This window comes from Homo sapiens, chromosome 3 (assembly GCF_000001405.40).
Source record: "Homo sapiens chromosome 3, GRCh38.p14 Primary Assembly".
Classification (NCBI taxonomy): domain Eukaryota; kingdom Metazoa; phylum Chordata; class Mammalia; order Primates; family Hominidae; genus Homo; species Homo sapiens.
This window is the reverse complement of record NC_000003.12, coordinates 5,167,489-5,185,850: the sequence shown is the minus strand read 5'-3', so window position 1 is coordinate 5,185,850 and position 18,362 is coordinate 5,167,489. Positions and strand designations below refer to the sequence as shown.

At 38.3% G+C, this 18,362-nt stretch overlaps 1 protein-coding gene across 1 annotated transcript in view, besides 1 other annotated feature; it reads right to left on the bottom strand.

The window, feature by feature from the left end:
* Window positions 3,709–3,758: an enhancer, noted in NCBI's record as "active region_19378". NCBI's record gives its function as "activates an Ori minimal core promoter by ATAC-STARR-seq in GM12878 lymphoblastoid cells {active_cell/tissue: GM12878}" and the evidence as "EXISTENCE:reporter gene assay evidence [ECO:0000049][PMID:35858748]".
* ARL8B (ARF like GTPase 8B) overlaps window positions 4,940–18,362 on the bottom strand; it is a 58,620-nt gene continuing 45,197 nt past the window's right edge. Inside the window, exons 2-7 of the mRNA NM_018184.3 lie at window positions 15,268–15,348; window positions 13,628–13,701; window positions 13,111–13,204; window positions 11,767–11,834; window positions 11,437–11,507; window positions 4,940–7,187 (exon numbers count right to left, since the gene is read on the bottom strand). Of these exons, the coding sequence (NP_060654.1) occupies window positions 7,138–7,187; window positions 11,437–11,507; window positions 11,767–11,834; window positions 13,111–13,204; window positions 13,628–13,701; window positions 15,268–15,348 (438 nt within the window). The 3' untranslated portion in view covers window positions 4,940–7,137. The remainder of the gene's footprint in view (window positions 7,188–11,436; window positions 11,508–11,766; window positions 11,835–13,110; window positions 13,205–13,627; window positions 13,702–15,267; window positions 15,349–18,362) is intronic.

Sequence of the window (18,362 nt, the reverse complement as noted above, 5' to 3'; positions counted from 1 at the left end):
CTTATTTAATCTTCATAGAAAACTGTAAAGCTTATTCCACAAGCCATAATGGAAGAAATCAGGTTGGGGGCTCAATTCTCAGAGCCTGTTGGCTCTAGGCAGAAAGGGAGTTACTACACTTTAGGGCAATTTGCACTTCAAATAGCTGGCCCTTGAGCAGACAGGTCCCTCTGCTCTTTCCAAGCCACCCAAAAGCAATAGTTTTGACATTAGTGCCCTGCAAGGCATAGCCTAGGCATTAGGGTCTAGGTTCAGAAAGTGTTTCCTTCTGGAATGAAACTGAAATGAAAGAAATGGGTTATTTTGTGCTAGTCCTTTCGATTAGGACTCTCCTTAAGCTAAATGTACTGATAAGATTGGGACAACACCCATACCCAATCAGAAAACTCCAGTCTTGAAAATCAACTCTTTAAGATAAACAGTTTGATTTGTGACAGGTTTTCCGGTAATCTCACAAGCGCATCAGGGACTGATAAAAAAGGAAAGGAGGCACTTTTTCAGTGTAAAAATGGCTTTACTCTGGGGAATGCAAAGAGATGACAACTAAGAACTCACATTCAGAAGTCAGGTGTTCAAATCGTAGCTCTGCCCTAAGAGTGACCTTGGGAAGTTACTTTTCTAGGACTTGTTTCCTCATCCATAAAATGGGTGAGTGATGAGGACAATGTTTATCACAGTTGTGATTACATCATATATATATATAAAGTACTTACAACCGTGCTACATAGTGAGACCTATTAATACTTTTCAACTCTGAAACTTTTAAAACTAGCACCCGGCTGGGCGTGGTGGCTCACACCTGTAATCCCAGAACTTTGGGAGGCCAAGGCAGGCAGATCACTTAAGGTCCGGAGTTCAAGACCAACCTGGCCAAAATGATGAAACCCCATCTCTACTAAAAATACAACTACCCGGGCGTGGTGGTGGGCGTCTGTAATCCCAGATACTCAGGAGGCTGAGGCACGAGAATCACTTGAATCCAGGAGGCAGAGGTTGCAGTGAGCTGAGATAGCGCCACCACACTCCATTCTGGGCAAGAGAGTGAGACTGCGTCTCAAAAAAAAAAAAGTATTTCAAAAGCAGAGGTTTTGCAAAGCTGAAGGCCTAAAAAAAAGTATATAATTACAGTTCAAACTTATTTGATGGGCACAAATCCAAGTTTGTCAACATGCTCTGTTAGCAAGATACAGGATACTCGAGAGGCTGAGGCAGGAAGATCCCCTGAGCCAGTAGTTTGAAGCTGCGTTTCCTATGATCGTGGCTGTAAATAGCCAATGCAATTACCTGGGTAACAGTGAGACTTCATCTCTTTTTTAAAAAGGCATAGGGGACTGGGACTGGTAAAAACAAAAACTAGTACTTCCCGTGTGAAGGGTCATTTGGCAATTCCTAGTGTCAGAAAAAAATTACAACAAATTTACTTACAGATCTAACTGGCGTTTATTCATAACTTATGAATGGGGCAGCCTCCATTCTACAAAACAGAATGAAAGCTCCCAATGAGAAACAGCAGAATAGTGGGTTTTGTAAGATGAGAGCAAGGAAACAAAACAATGAAAAATAACTGATTGGTTAACATCGGGTTACTTTTTTTTTAAGGGTTAAAGAAGAAGGGACTTCCTTATTATTCTGATTCAGACAGACTGGGATTTTCTGTTTTCAGGAAAAACTGGTCTGTAAAGTTTCCATGTAACTGTGTGGCACTTAATATATGTAACTACTTTGGTCTGCTAGGACCTAGTGCAGAAACTCAGTCCACAAACAATGACCCCCCATAATTTTGGTTTAACGTTAGCACAAGTCGCCAGGCGCGGTGGCTCACGCCGGTAATCCCAGCACTTTGGGAGGCTGAGGCGGGTGGATCACTTGAGGTCAGAGTTCAAGACTAGCCTGGCCAACATGGTGAAACCCCATCTGCACTAAAACTACAAAAATCAGCTTGGCATAGTGGCACATGCCCGTAGTCCCAGCTACTTGGGAGGCTGAGGTAGGAGAATTGCTTGAACCCAGGAGGCGGACGTTGCAGTGAGTCGAGATTGCGCCACTGAACTCCAGCCTGATGACAGAGCAAGACTATCTCAAAAAGGAAGAAAAGATAGTGAGATTCCCTTCTAGCAGTTCTAACACCAAACCACTGAAACAAATATATGAACTATACATCAAAAATATTCATCATGCACATGCCCATACCATGCTCTAGCCTTTAGGTTACTGATGCTTCCAGAGAATATAGGAATTCTATAAATCCTTAACCCTTCTTTGAATGAGGGCTAGCGCTTATAAATTAGCTAATAGTATGACAAATAAGAGCAATTTGAATTTTTCTTACAGAATAAAATATACAAATGGAAGAGTTATCTAATTCACCTATTGGGTAGTAGATAGAAATGGTGAATTCTCTTAAGCCACAGAAACAAGCTAGCACATTGTGTGATACACATTGTACAACACTGAGGGTAAGTCACAATTGTAGATAAGAATTGGTTAAGGGAGATGCTATAATTAGCAAGTGGTTAATGTTCTACTTCCCAAGTCCAAAAGGGGATACAATGGTTTTGTTGGTCCTCCAGCCCCTTTACTTTTAAGAGTAGTATTTTCTAACCATTCCAGGTTTCTCCAAAGCTCTGGATAAATTCTAGCAGAACCTAGCTGGCCGGGCATGGTGGCTCATACCTGTAATCCCAGCACTCTGGGAAGCTGAGGTGGGCGGATCACAAGGTCAGGAGATCGAGACCATGGTGAAACCCCGTCCCTACTAAAAATATTAAAAAATTAGCCAGGCGTGGCGGCGGGCGCCTACAGTCCCAGCTACTCGGGAGGCTGAGGCAGGAGAATGGCGGGAACCCGAGAGGCGGAGCTTGCAGTGAGCTGAGATGGCGCCACTGCACTCCAGCCTGGGCAACAGAGTGAGACTCCATCTCAAAACAAACAAACAAAAAAACCCCCAAAAACCCAGCAACACAGCAGTTATAAAGGATTAAACCTTAGCTCTAAACCACCTACCCTCAAATTGGTAGTAGGTATATACACTTTTCTGGAGTGCATACCAAACATTTTCTGCAGTCTGGGGAAAATGTTCTAAAATTTGTAAATGCCTTTCAAAATATAAGCCGGTATATTTACAGAATTTCCTTCAAACAAAATAAATTTACTGTATCATTCTGTAAAATGTCTGCAATCTCCAGCTTTTGTGCTAAAATTTAAAGTTGTAACATGTAAATATTTCTGTATTTTTGAATTACCTTCTATTGAAGGAACATGTAATATTAACATATTCACTAGGCCAAATCGGTGTTTTTGTATCTCTTTTTAACCACCAAGCAAATTTCTAGGCTGCTAGAATCAGCCTGTCAGTGGCAGAAGTTATGGTTAGAAATCCTCTCCTGTTCATTTTATAGATGGGAAAACTTAAGGAGCCATGAGGGGGTTCTGCAACTCACCAGTCACACAGTCAGTTAATGGCCAAGGAAAGAACCCATTCTCCCAAATGCCAACCCAGTACTCTCCACAGAATTAAGCTATATTAGCATCGTAAGCTAACAACTCTTTTCCTACATCCCTACTGTAAGCCCCAGTAAAATGAAGCTAAAGTATCTTTTCCCCCTCCTGATTATTGGGAAATCTGCATTACCTAAATGCCAGATGCCTTGGGATTTCAAAATAGAATTATCTTACTGAAGAGAGGGCTGGTTAATAGAATGGAATAATAAATGACTACTGCTGTGGCTTAGATTTTTAAGAGAGTCCTATTGCAGTCTGTCTACCATGACAATGACCTGCTTTGGTTTCCCTAAGAACACCCAAGAGGAGCAATGACAAAAGTACACATTTTTATTAATAGCTGAATTTTAAACAGCCAATGTGTGGAGGTTATTTACTAACCAACAGGAAACACCTGCAGCAGGCTGCATACTTATAGAGCAGCAAACTTAAGGGAAGTCTGTAAGGCTTTACTGTCTTCCTTTTCAAGTCTCTTCACTGCTATGCACAGTTGAGGGCATAACCTTAAAAGTCTGTAACATAACAAAAACATTTTAAACATCAAACATCGTGCTTTCCCCACTGTGGCACATTTTTAGAGTAAAGCATTTGGCCAACTGGATGTTACAGCATGATGCCCACTACATTATGTTTAAGCTTCCATTCCAGTTCTGAACCCACCAGACCCTTGGAGCAGCTGGAATTACCAAATCAACAGGGTATCAGTGTAACTCAATCCTACATGGAGCAAACAGACAAAGCAGTTAGTTCCTCAAACACCCAATTTACTTGACAGAATCAAAGACCAACTTTATAAGTTTAGAAGTTTTTAAAAGCAGATACACATTTAGAATTAAGCTAAATGTATATCCTCCGTGTTCCCCCATCCTCACCCTCAACTCTCACACACTCACCCCCTTGGTAGGAGAATGGTGAGAAGTGGATGAAACTTGATGCTTGACTACATGGCTCCAGTAATGCAGTGAAAAGACAAAAACACATCAACGTGACGTTCCAGGGAAATAAACGCGAAATCATGCATCCAACTGGCCACTAAGGGTTGGCTGTACAGAATTGTAGTATGCGTATGGAGAAAATGCTAACTGAACCTTTCTAAACAAATAAAAATATACACAATTATTTTTCCAATAGCTCAAGTATTGACTTATTTTATGGGCAGATGATACCAAACTAGCAAAAAGCTTTATGCTAAAAATGTGCCTTTGTGGGAAAACCAGCATGTTCGGTACTTAAAATATTTCCATTCTGAACTGAAGTCAGTGAATAGGCATGTCTTGCAACTTCATTTGCTTAGCAGGGTCTTGGTTTGATTTGTAAAAACTGGGACATAAAATGTTTTACTAGCACTTGCCACTTAAAGTCCTAAATTTGGTGTATTGTGACCGTTGACAAGTAGTAGCATTTCCCCCGCCCCCAAAAAATCACAATATCAATTCTGTGGATATTTTAAAAGTTTATTTCTATTTTAACTAGCCCACAGACCCCATTCTTTGAGGGCTGATCTGATTTCTGACAAATGGTCTATAGACCCTCCTCTCGGAAACTTCCAAAAAAGTCTGCACCTTCCATCATGATGCACATTTTAAGTTAAAATTGCCAATACAACCCTTAAAATGCAAGTTTATTGAATAAAGCTGAGAAGAGCAGTAAACAGACAAAAAATGCATCCACCTAAATAAAAAAATTCACATATTTACATAGTTCAGTAACTGTTAAAAGTTTTCACATGCAGAGGTTAATGCACAGGAAAATGTTGGTAATAGCGTCTGGATGTCTTGAAATGCGGAAAGCAATGTATAGACACACAAACACATTAAGGTTTAGCTATAGGTCAATTAACAAACCTATGCAGTCCCCACAGAGTCACACATTCTAGTTCCAATTCCTCCTTTTAGGCACAAGCAAGTTGCCACATTCTTTGTAATGGTTCACACTGACCATTAATGGTGTTGAACAACAGTAGCAAGTTTAAATATCCCTTCATTTACAGAACCATCCATCCCACCAGGGTAGTATGCAACATGCTTCAAAGAATAAGAAGAGAAATTTAAAAGCCCAGATTCTACTCATAAAAATATGAATGGAGAAAAGCAAGTAGTGTCTGTGCAACACAGTGCAGTATATTGTACAGAATATTTTTAAGGCCATGGCAGTCTATAAATTAAAACTGATATTCATTAAAAGAACTTACTGTTGACTACACTCTGAGTGCTCAACACATTTGGAAATGCAGTCTACATAAGTGCTGCTTAACAAAAGAAACAAAATCACACACAGTGTGAGGCAACACATAAGCAGGTGTACCATAGAGTTTTATCTACTACAGTGGTCTATATGAATAATAATTTACAAATGAACCAGTATTAATATGTCCCTTTATGTATACGGAAGTCGCTAAACTACAAAACATGTCCATTTGAAGTTTTTAGACATCTCTGTATCATAGAAGCAAACAAACAGCATCAGTTCCTCAGTTCTCTGTGTGACTGATTATTAAACAACCTGTAGACATTGAGCATGATTACATTAGATAAAGCAGGCAGGTCTAGAGTTGTCACAATAATCAAGATGTCTAATGGCACCAGTCAAAAGAGTGCCAAAGCTTACATCAGTAAGAGAGAAAAATAAAAATTTTTTATTTGTTTATAAGTATCTTTTGTGCTGAAAGTCAACTTTATGACTGGATATAAAAAGTCAGGAGTTAAGAGTGTCATGCAGCAGCACTGATTTAATGACTGGAGATAGAACAAACAGATGTTTGAACAAAGACTGACATTCTTAACAGGTTTTATTATATTGGGTGGAATGCTCTAAATTCATGAACGCTTTTGGAAAATCTTCAATTCTCAACCCCTTAAAAAAGTATCCTGAACCAGGAAGAAAAAACAAGAGACAGAAATAATGATCTGGACAGATACAAAACAGGATGCTTTAGTTCCTCCCATATCCCAACTGCCATCTGGTGATAGAGTTCTCAGAAAGCAGGATATCTTTAATATTCATCAGGCAGAATCTCACCAGTGCAAAGAACCAACATTGATCTGGTGCCTCCGCTCACTCTCTGCAGACCATTTTGGATTCCTAAGATGTAATTATACATTTCACATGCATTTGTGAGATAAAATAAACATTATGTTTACATATATCCCACATGAGTCATTCACGCCTAAAGGTTTTCTAAATACTGTGTGTGGCACTAGAAACTTCATGCTGTATCAAGTCAGTGTCAGTATTAAGCTACTGGACTCTATAATGAAATATTATAGATAGACATTTACTGAAAACCAATATAAAAATCTGGCCCAGAAAGACCAGAATGGAAATATGCAATTTTCTTGATTTAAGATGGTCATAAGTATATGGGGTTTTTTTTCTGTTTTTAAAGCTCTACACATGGTTTAAGACAGGTATGTGTAAGAAGCCTTTTTGTGTGTGCTGACTTTATCATGACAACTCTAGCTGATTCTTTATGAAGGATTAGGGATATTCATCTTCAGCAGTGCACATGAGAAATAAACTCTGAAAAAGGCAATTTCTGGGGTTTAGGAAGGACCGTATTCTGGGAATTACTTCAGAGGAACGGACAATAATTCTAGGATTATAGCCAAGAAGGACTGGAAGACTTCAGGAGATGCTTCAGCTTCTTCTAGATTTTGAATGCTGAATAAGCCACTGAAGTGTGATATCTAAAGATAGAGGGGAAAAGTGAAGACATTAAAGTTAAAAAACTAAACATCAAACAGAGACAATATTTAAAAGGCAGCTAATTCAAGGCACACACTATGCCTGACCTCTGCTGCTTTTCTGCATCTGCATTACCATACTCCATTACCCGAACTTCAAGAGAATATGAGGAATTATCAGAGACTGAAGCGTTTTCTGATTTAAAAATTAAGTTGTGTATAGGACGGCTGGTGCCACCTTTTATGTGTTGCCCACACAATCAATCAGGTGTTGCATGCAAATTGCCAGGAAGGCAAAAAAAAAAAAAAAAAAAAAGGAATAACCCCTGTTTGCCCTCAAGGCGCTTTTAAGTATAATACACAGAAAAGATGCAGTAATTCCCGGGGCTTGGGGGCCACCCCACAGAACTCCAGGTTAAAAAAAAAAAACAGCAAAAGAATGTTAAAAGGCATGAAACATTGTGGAGCTCTGGATGGATTGTGAGTGATACAATGTGACTAAAGCACAGGGATGGGAGAGGAGGCTGTCACTGCCAAGGCTGGTGCAGGGTTCACACCATGCCCTTTTGACATCTGGGGCTGGGTAATTCTTGTCCTCACTTCTTCAGAAGGGTACATGAGAGTCTATCAGAAGCACCACTCTATTCTCCAAGCCTGAAAGATGAGGGTAAATTCACTACCAGTTTCCCAGCTAACATGCATTAACGAAACACCACAGGGCTGAGCTATAACAAACATGAACTGTTCACCATTGTGGAAGCAATGATTTAACCCAACTACTGAAGAAGCACCTCTGCACCTTAAAATGGGGACAACAGTGCACAATACGAGCAAAGCCACACTCATTGGAACTGAATGGGAGAAAGGTAAATCTGAAGTGAAATAACCAAATTTAAATATTTAAGAAATTCATGGCCGGGCACGGTGGCTCACACCTGTAATCCCACACTTTGGGAGGCCGAGGCAGGTGATCACCTGAGGTCAGCAGTTTGAGACCAGCCTGGCCAACATGGTGAAACCCCATCTCTACTAAAAATACAAAAATTAGCCGAGCACGGCAGCGGGCGCCTGTAATCCCAGCTACTCGGGAGGCTGAGGCAGGAGATCACTTGAACCCAGGAGGCGGAGGTTGCAGTGAGCCAAAATTGCGCCACTGCACTCCAGCTGGGCCACAAGAGTGAAACTCCATCTCAAAAAAAAAAAAAAAGAAATTCACTAAAAAATTACACAAAGCCTCTGTGGATACTGATAGAAGTTCATATCCTAAAGACAAATGGATCTTTATGAATAGGCAAAAAGACAACAGAAATAAGATACTCAGATGAACTGATCTACAAAATACTTATTTCGAATTTTATTAGAGTGGATCTTATTAGACTGGATCAGATTCCTTGGGCTTGACAACCTTTTAAGTGAGCCAGGAGTTCTAAAATTACTACTGAGCTATTTAGCCAACTATAAAGATCAGCCTCAAATAGCGAAAGAAGTCCTCACAGCTCTACTGCACTTCCATATATGAGCCCAAGAGATTTTGTTTTTTTTTCAGGAAGTATCCAACTAGTTTGTAACAATGGAAAAACAGAAAACATGTAGGGAGTAATGGATTTACAAAATAGCACAATGGACTAAAAATTACGGTTAGTGTAGAACAGGATTTCTCAACCTTGCCACAACTGACATTTTATGCTGGATAATTCTTTGCTGTGGAGGTTATAGTATGTTTAGCTACATTTCTGGTATCTACCCACTAAATGCCAGCATCACCCTCCTAGTTATGACAACCAAAAATGTCTCCAGACATTGTCAAGTCTCCTGGGGGAAAAGCTCCCCATTGAGAACCACTGATGTAGAAATAAATGCTCTCATGGGGCATATCTTAAATTTTAAAAAGAGTTTTCCCCGCCACATAGAGAAAAAACTTTTAAATAAAGTCTAAGTAACCACAAGTGCTTGAGGAGTCTGTTCTCAAATAAATGCTCCCAATGTAACAAGTGAATTATTCTATCCATTTATAAAGGAAAATTTGTGTCTATCCGCTGTTACTAAGGCTGAGACTGCCCTGGATGGTCTTTAAAGGAAGCCCAAAATTAGCCAGAACGACTATCCACACTTTAAACTGAATAAAGCATATTTGTGGCTGGGCGTGGTGGCTCATGCCTGTCAATCTAAGCACTTTGGGAGGCTGAGGCAGGTGCATCACCTGAGGTCAGGAGTTCAAGACCAGCATGGCCAACATGATGAAACCCTGTCTCTACTAAAAATACAAAAATTAGCCAGGCGTGGTAGTGGGCAACTGTAATCCCAGCTACTCAGGAGGCTGAGGCACAAGAATCACTTGAACCCGGGAAGTGGAGGTTGCTGTGAGCTAAGATCTTGCCACTGCACTCCAGCCACGGCGACAGAGTGAGACTCCATCTTAAAAAAATAAAAATAAATAAAGCCATGTTTGCAGGCGGGGTGGAAGGTGAGTTAGGGAAGGATAGACTGGAATACAAAAGCTAAAGAAAAAATATCAGCATAAACTTTATAGATATACTATTCTGGTACTATTTATTACATTTTGTTCCAATACATTCATTTATCAAATCATCTCAAACCAAATTAGTTAAGAAACTAAAGTTGAGCCATACATACTTATTCTGTAACCATACTATGCTAGAATGTTTAATGTCCCCCTAAAAAGTCATGTCCATCCAGAACCTCAGAATGTGACTTTTACTGGAAATAGGGTCTCTGCAAGTTATTAGTTAAGATAAGGTCATACTGGATTAGGTGGGCCCTACCTAATCCAGTGACTTGCGTCCTTAGGAAAACATAATACACTGACACAGAGACAACTACAGGGGAGAAGCATGAATGTGAGGCAGAGACTGGAGTGGTATATCTACAAGTGAAGGAATGCCAAGGATTGCTGGCAACCACCACAAGCTAGAGAGAGGCAAGGAGGGATCTTCTACAGCCTTCAGAGAGAACACGACCCTGCTGACAACTTGATTTTGGACTTCCAGCCTCTAGAATTTTGAATGACTTAAGTTTCTGCTGTTCTAAGCCACCTTGTTTGTGGTACTTTGTTATGGCAGTTCTAAGAAGTTAATATGGGCATTGAGTAAATGAAGGGTATTTTGGGCATATAATTCCAATAGAGTGCTAACATATTGCAGTAATATACTGGTTCAATAACTGAAAAATTGTTGTAGTGCCTGTAGACTAATTTTTGTAAAGTCTTATTTCAAAAATGCCATTTTGTTATAAAGCACAGCGGGATACTAGCTCTGCAAAAATTAACACAATAAATTGGTATCACATAATCTTAACCTCACGACTTTATTGCATTTTCTTCTTTAAATAGCACAAAGAAGATTCAGGATGTTATACATTCAGTCCTCACTTAACATCACTGATAGGTTCTTGGAAACTGCCACTTTAAGTGAAATGGTGTATAACAAAACTATTTTTTTCTCATTAACATTGTAACGCTGAACGAAATGAGGGCCTACTGTATGTCATTTCGCTTAAAAGTGCAATTTCCTCTTTTTAAAAAATTTTTTGCTGTTCAAGAGTTTGATAACATATAGGCCGGGCTCACACCTGTAATCCCAACACTTTGGGGGGCCGAGGCAGTTGGATCATTTGAGGTCAGGAGTTCAAGACCAGCTTGGGCAACATGGAAACCCTGTCGCTACTGAAAATACAAAAATTAGCCGGGCGTGGTGGTGCACGTCTGTAGTCCCAGCTACTCAGGAGGCTGAGGCACAAGAATCGCTTTAACCCAGGAGGCAGAGGTTGCAGTAAGTCGAGATCACGCCACTGCACTCAAGCCTGGGTGAAGGAGTGACACTGTCTCAAAAAATACATATACATATAATATTATTTATATATATATATTTATGTTATATATAATATATATTTATATATATTATATATTACATATATATTACATATAATATATAATACATATTACATATATATTACATATAATATATAATACATATTACATATATTATATTATATATATATTTGTATGAGAGAGAGAGAGATAACATTGCAATTTCAAAGAAGCCATCAATGATGTTAAGTGAAGGTTCACTATATTTGTTGTCAAAAGGTATGTCTATTCTTTTTTCTCAGGCAAAAGCAACAGTATTCTGAAAAGGAAGTCACTTAATGAGAAATCGAGACAATAAGCTGTAAGAAGCATAGACATTCCTTCCAATGATACCCATTTCTTCCAAAATTACCAGTCATTTCTTACCTATATTATCCTTTTCTTTGCAAGAAATTGAATAGCAGCAAATTTCTCTATCCTGAATAGCAGACAGATTCCTATGAGAAGAATTAAAAGGATAAGTCTGTGCTTAGAACAGCTGTCATACTTATCACTTTGTTCAATTTTACTCATTAGTTTTATTACTATACTGAAGAAATCATCGTAGCAATCCTAAAATGTTAGGATTCACTTCTCTGATAGGCCAACTTTTATCTACCTAAAAAAAATGGCTATGATCATTAGGAATAACATAACAAGTGGGCAAAATATGGTAATTTAGAAGCAAATTATTAAAATAGCATATTCAAGACATACATTTTTTCAATTAGCTGTTTCTCATCCAAGGCATTAGGAAGATCTCTCTTGTTTCCAAGCACTAGCACCTTTAAAAAGAAAAGATATTAAGAGCACACGTTTATGCAAGAAAAAGTCACAGAAGTTTATCATCTTGATATGTGAAGACACAAAGTTAAGATGTTAACACATTCCACAATGTTAAGGCCTATTTGTGTAACTGGTGGCTTGTCTCATTCATTTCATTGCTCACACTTGTATTCACTCAACTCCCACCATGCAGGTGCTCTTAATTCAGTATGTGGCTGCCAACTGCTATGTAAAATAGTCTGAGTCTATGATACACATTCTGCTATTCTTTTTGTTTGTTTGTTTGTTTGTTTGTTTGTTTGAGACAGAGTCTCGCTCTGTCACCCAGGCTGGAGTGCAGCAGCCACTGGGCTCACTGCAAGCTCTGCCTCCCGGGTTCACGCCATTCTCCTGCCGTAGCTGGGACTACAGGCGCCCACCACCACGCCCAGCTGATTTTTTGTAGTAGAGACGGGGTTTCACCGCGTTAGCCAGGATGGTCTCGATCTCCTGACCTGGTGATCCGCCCATCTCGGCCTCCCAAAGTGCTGGGATTACAGGCATGAGCCACCGCGCCCGGCGGCATTCTGCTATTCTTAGTACAGGTTTACTATCCCTTATCCAAAATACCTGGGACCAGAAGTGTTTCGAATTTTGGAAATTTTTTGGATTTGCATTATATACTTACTGGTTGAGCATTCCTAATCCAAATGCAAATTCCTAAATGTATTCTAGAGACTGGCCTCTTCTCAGTTTCCCACTTCCTCCCACCCAAAGGCCTTTGCCTGGAACTCTCTTCCCCTCCAACTGTCATATACCTCACATTTGTATGTATCCCTTGGATCTCAGCTCAACCATTACTTCCTCGTGAATCCCTCCTTCTTCCCTCAAACTAGATCACATCTCCCCTCTAAATTACAACTCTCATATCCCCTTGCACCTTTCTTCCTAGCACTTAAAGCTGCATTATTCAAGTGTTTTCAGAGTATCTACCTTTCCCACTAAACCATAAGGTCCATGATGGCAAGGAGTATGTTTCTACTGATTTCCATTCATCACTATATCCCTGGGCCTACGCACTGCTCCTGCTGCATAGTAGTTTAGTAGATACGTGGTTATGAGATTCATATTTAGCACAATGCCCAGTATATGGCAGATACATGGTAAGCAAGTTTTCCAGATTTTAAAAATGAAGACATGTTACTGATTTCAAACATAATTAATATCACTGCATAATTACCATAATTAATATCATTATATAATTACAATGTAAAATAACAAGTATTCCATACTTACTGGAATTCCTTGTAACTGTGGTTTATCTAGAAGATTATGTAGCTCATTTCGGGAAGCTTCTATCTTTTCACGATCTGCAGCATCTATCATGTAACTTAAAAAAATGAAGTGATCTCAACATACCTTCTCTGTATGCCTTGATGATGACAACTAGTATTATTGATTTTTAATTTTTGTAAGATTTACATTATTGAAATTATTAACCAAAATAAACTATGTCATAAGAAAAGGCTCAGCACCCTTTAATACTTTTTAACTAGACTGTTTTTAGAGACTAATACATGATAGTAAAACATGTACACCCCTTAGCTCTTAGCTCCATAAACAAAAAACATAAAGATCTTATTCTATGATTAATTTTTTTTAAATCCCATGTTGGGAATTACACTAGGATATTAGCTAAGAAAGATTTTCACTGCCTGAGATAAAAATTGAGCCTCTGGAAATACTAAAATAAACTTTCTTCTTTGATGCCTACATTGATTTAAAAGCAAACAAACAAAAAAAAACCACTTACACAATAGCATTGACTCCTCTGCAATACCGCTCCCACATGCTTCGAAATCGGGGTTGTCCTCCTATGTCCCAGATCTTTAAATCAAAACAAGGCAATTCTTAATAAAGATATTTTAATTAAATGATTGCAAGAGGAAGTAACAGAAAAAAAGAAAGATCGGGAAGATATATTTATTTCTACAATGTTAGAGGCAAAGTGCTCCTGAAAGACTTGACCTCAAACAAGCTCTTAATATGGGAATTCTTGGGGCCACTTCTAAACTTGAAGTCCGTATTTAATACATTTACAATACATCTAAAATTTTGCTTAAGCAAAGATTTGGTTTATGTGCAATAGTTTGCCTGTTAACTAATATACTTCTATTATTGAAAACATATGTCTTTATGATAACAATTTAAAAGCTACAGGACCATGCACCATCCAGATTTGAATGCCAAGACAGAAAACAACAATTCAGAATCTATTAAGTCTTAATCGTCTGATTTGTTCTACATTAATGCCTAACCTTTTGAAATTATCCTGTAAATAAGTAGCCAACATTTCCACATAGGTGTTTTTCTTGTATAAAATTATTTTGGTCAGGCATGGTGGCTCACACCTATAATCCCAGCACTTTGGGAGGCCGAGGCGGGTGGATCACTTGGGGTCAGGAGTTCGAGACCAGCCTGGCCAACACAGTGAAACCTCATCTCTACTAAAAATACAAAAAATTAGCCAGGTGTGGTGGCAGGTGCCTGTAATATACTCGGGAGGCTGAGGCAGGAGAACCACTTGAACCTGGGAGTCGGAGGTTGCAGTGAGCCGAGATCACACCATTGCACTCCAAGCCTGGGCAACAAGAGTGAAACTCCATCTCAAAAAAATAAAATAAAATAAAATTATTTTATGCACATGAAAGCCACATCCATAATCATTTTATTATTGTGTCTACTCCGTAGGGCATCACACTAGACACTGGGCTACATTAAAGTCTCAAGTCACAGTATTAATCTTCAAGAGGCTTCCGGTTTAACTAAAGCACTGGTAACAAGCATAAAGAAACCTGCACTTGACTAAATCTGGAACTTCATTAGATGAGCCACAGAGAAAGTGAACAGCTTCTGTAAACCACAATAATTGGGCAAAATGGACATTAAGGCTCAGGCCATAGATTTGATTTTTGAAAAACAAAATAGATTAAAAATCTATTCTTGGCCAGGCGTGGTGGCTCACGCCTGGAATCCCAGCACTTTGGGGAGGCCGTAGCAGGCAGATCATTTGAGGTTAGGAGTTGAGACGAGCCTAACCAACATGGTGAAACCCTGTCTCTACTAAAAGTACAAAAAATTAGCTGGGTGTGGTGGCACAAGCCTGTCATCTTAGCTATTTTGGAGGCTGAGGCAGGAGAATCACTTGAACCGGGAGGTAGAGGTTGCAGTGAGTGGAGATCGCGACACTGCACTCCAGCCTGGGTGAAAGAGCAAAACTCTGTTTCCAAAAAAAAAACAAAAAAACAACAACAAAAAAACCTATTCTTTTGAAACATGCACATTCATTACTGAAAAACTGCAAATTTTCAGTAAAAACACAGAAATTTAACAGAAAAATTTCTAGGGGTCTGTGCTAACAATTTAAATTGCGTACGGCAAGAAATAACTTACCTTTATTGTGACGTTACCTTTAGTTACCTTCCTCATGTTGAAGCCCACTGTGGGTATCATATCTTCACTGAATTGACCTGACTGAACAAAATAAAACATTTGAAGTTAGGCTACTCACTTATAATGACACTGCATAAACTTCTAATATCAACATTGCATTTGTAACCATTTTAGTAAATATTTTTTTACCATTGGTAACAATCTACTTTAAGAACATGTTCCTTATGGCCATAATTCTTGAAGAGATGCATTATTTTGTCCCAACAAAGATATATTCTTCCATCTAAAAAAGATATTTTTGAAACTAATGTAATTTTTTACATATTTCCTTATGCTAAAAGAATTTTATATGACAAATACATACGAAAATTTTTAAATGTGTTCACCTAGATGTACATTTCCACAAAGTAGATGAGATCAGAAATAAAACTTTCAGCATTTAAATTATTCTGACAGTAACTATTAAAATTCACTGCTAAACAGCATTTCCAAGTCTGTCTTTTAATAAGGCTTATAAAATATTTTGTCATACAGAAGTTTTTCCTTTTATGTAATCAATTTTGTTCTCTTTTTGGTTACTTATCTCAATGTCATGAGTATTGTCTGCTATGGCCTTATGCTAGCCACATACACATGTATTCCAAAATTGTCTTAAATCTTGAGCACAACGAATTCCAACTGTACAAATAACTTCCTATACAGAACTCGAATTGTGCCTCTTTTAACTGTTCAGTGGAGTTTTATTAACTTCAGAAAAAATGTTAACACAGCCATAGTCACTACTTTCACTTATATAAGACATTATAATTCTCAGGACTTTCACATATGTGATTATATGTGAAAATCTAGTCATTCTATCTAAACTAGTTATATCAAAAGTAAGCCATGATAAAAGATAAATGGCCAATGAACTCATGAAAAGACGTTCGACTCACTAATCATTAGGGAAATGCAAATCAAACCCACAAAGAGATACCACCTAACATCCAGTAGGATGGCTACTATTAAGAGGAAAAGAAAAAAAACAGAAAGCACTGGAAAGAATGCAGAGAAATAGGAACTCTTGTATACTGCTGGCAGGAAGGCAAAATGGTATAGCTGCTATGAAAAATGGTATAGCAGTTCCTGAAAAACCTAAAAATAGAATTATCATATGATCCAGCAATTCAACTTCTGAATATACACTCAAAAGAAATGAAGACATTTTGCTAAATGAAATGAGCCAGAAGTCTCACACACTCACACACACACACACACACACACACACACACACACACAAACACTGTATTTCACTTTATGAGGTACCTAAAATAGTCAAATTCATAAAGACAGAAGATATTAATTTGCTTAATGGGTATGGAGTTTCAGTTTGAAAAGATAACAAATTTCTAGAAGTGGACAGTGGTGATGGTTACACAATGTGAATGTACTTAACACTACTGAATTGCACACTTAAAAATGACTAAGATGATACTTTGTGTTTTATGTATTTTACCAAAATTTTTAAAAAACTAGTCATCATACAGGGAGGGACAATTATCATTATCATTTCATAGAACAGGTAGTAGAGTCCCAAGGTCACATGGCTAAATCGTGATTATATTTTTCTTAAATATTTTCATTGTAATTATATTTATTGTGATAGGCTTTAATCTCTGAGGAGAGATCTACGTGAGATAATGCTCATTTATTTCATATCATTAAGTGTTTTACATAATGAAGAGGCAGGAAAAATAGTAGCTAAAATTTTTAGGTACCAAACTTTACAACTAGCTTGCATGGAAAGCTTTCTAAAAGGCAATATACACTTGGCTAACTTCCCACAAACAACCTATAGAACATGATTTAATGTGTTCTCAATGTTTCTGGGTCAGTTTATCTATTGCAAAACAAGAAAACTAAATTAGATAACACTCAAGGGCCCTCCCTATTGGAGGTAAAGTTTTATGATTATGAACATCAACTACAGCACTTCATAATAAAATAATGTAGGGGGCTGCAGTATACTGGGGTACCCCCGAGCTTTCTCAGGGGTTCATTTATCTCTTTTCTTTACCTTGGCCAACCCTAACAACTTTCCTGTAACTCAGCTGCTACTGCTAACATGCAAAAACCGAAAATTAGCTAATCAAGTCCTTGAGTTTTTACTCCAAAATTCTTGAGTAGAGCAAGATATTCAATAAATATTTGTTGAACAAACTAAGAGTTATTAGGGCCAGGCATAGTGGCTCAAGCTTGTAATTCCAGCACTTTGGGAGGCTGAGACAGGCAGGTTGCTGCGGCCCAGGAGTTCAAGACTAGCCTGGGTGACACGGCAAAACCTTCTCTCTACAAATACAAAAATTAGCCAGGCATGGTTATATGCACCTGTAGTCCCAGCTACTAGGGAGGCTGAGGTGGGAGGATTGCTTGAGCCTGGGAGGTGGAGGTTGAGATCTTAAGAACGATATGACTTTAAGACAAGATTGTGCCACTGTACTCCAGCCTAGACAATAGAGTGAGAGCATGTCTCAAAAAAAACATAGGCCATGAAGGAGGAAAATGCTGGAACTCTTCTGCCAATAAAGTGCTTAACTTTGATGCATGAATTTTGTGCAATAATTACTTTATGGACCTGGAAGTATTTTCTACTTCTTTCCTAGTGTCCAATCTTAATCATCACTTTTCAAAGCTTGTGTTGAACAACTATAACCACTCAGTTGGCAACTGGGCACTAGATACCTGAGAATTTATGTCTGAGCTGTCAAGAAGCTGCTTAATTAAGACTACAGGTTTGGGAAACAGATGTTTAGAAAATACTACTTAGTAGTATATCATTCTACTTATTTTAACAAATTTAACAAACACGTAATACTAAGCACTTAACATTCATCAGCATAGTTTAATCCTTATAACAACCCAATGAAATGAGTAGCATTATCTTCATTTCTCAGATGAGAAAAACAAGGCAAAGTCAGCTTAAGTCACTTGCCTAAAGTCACATTGTTCTTAAGATCTGGATAATTATGAGTTAATCTGACTTGGGGGGGAAAGAGTAGAAAAATAAAAGTAAGTAGTCCCTCCTTATCCTTGGGGGATACGTTCCAAGAACCCCA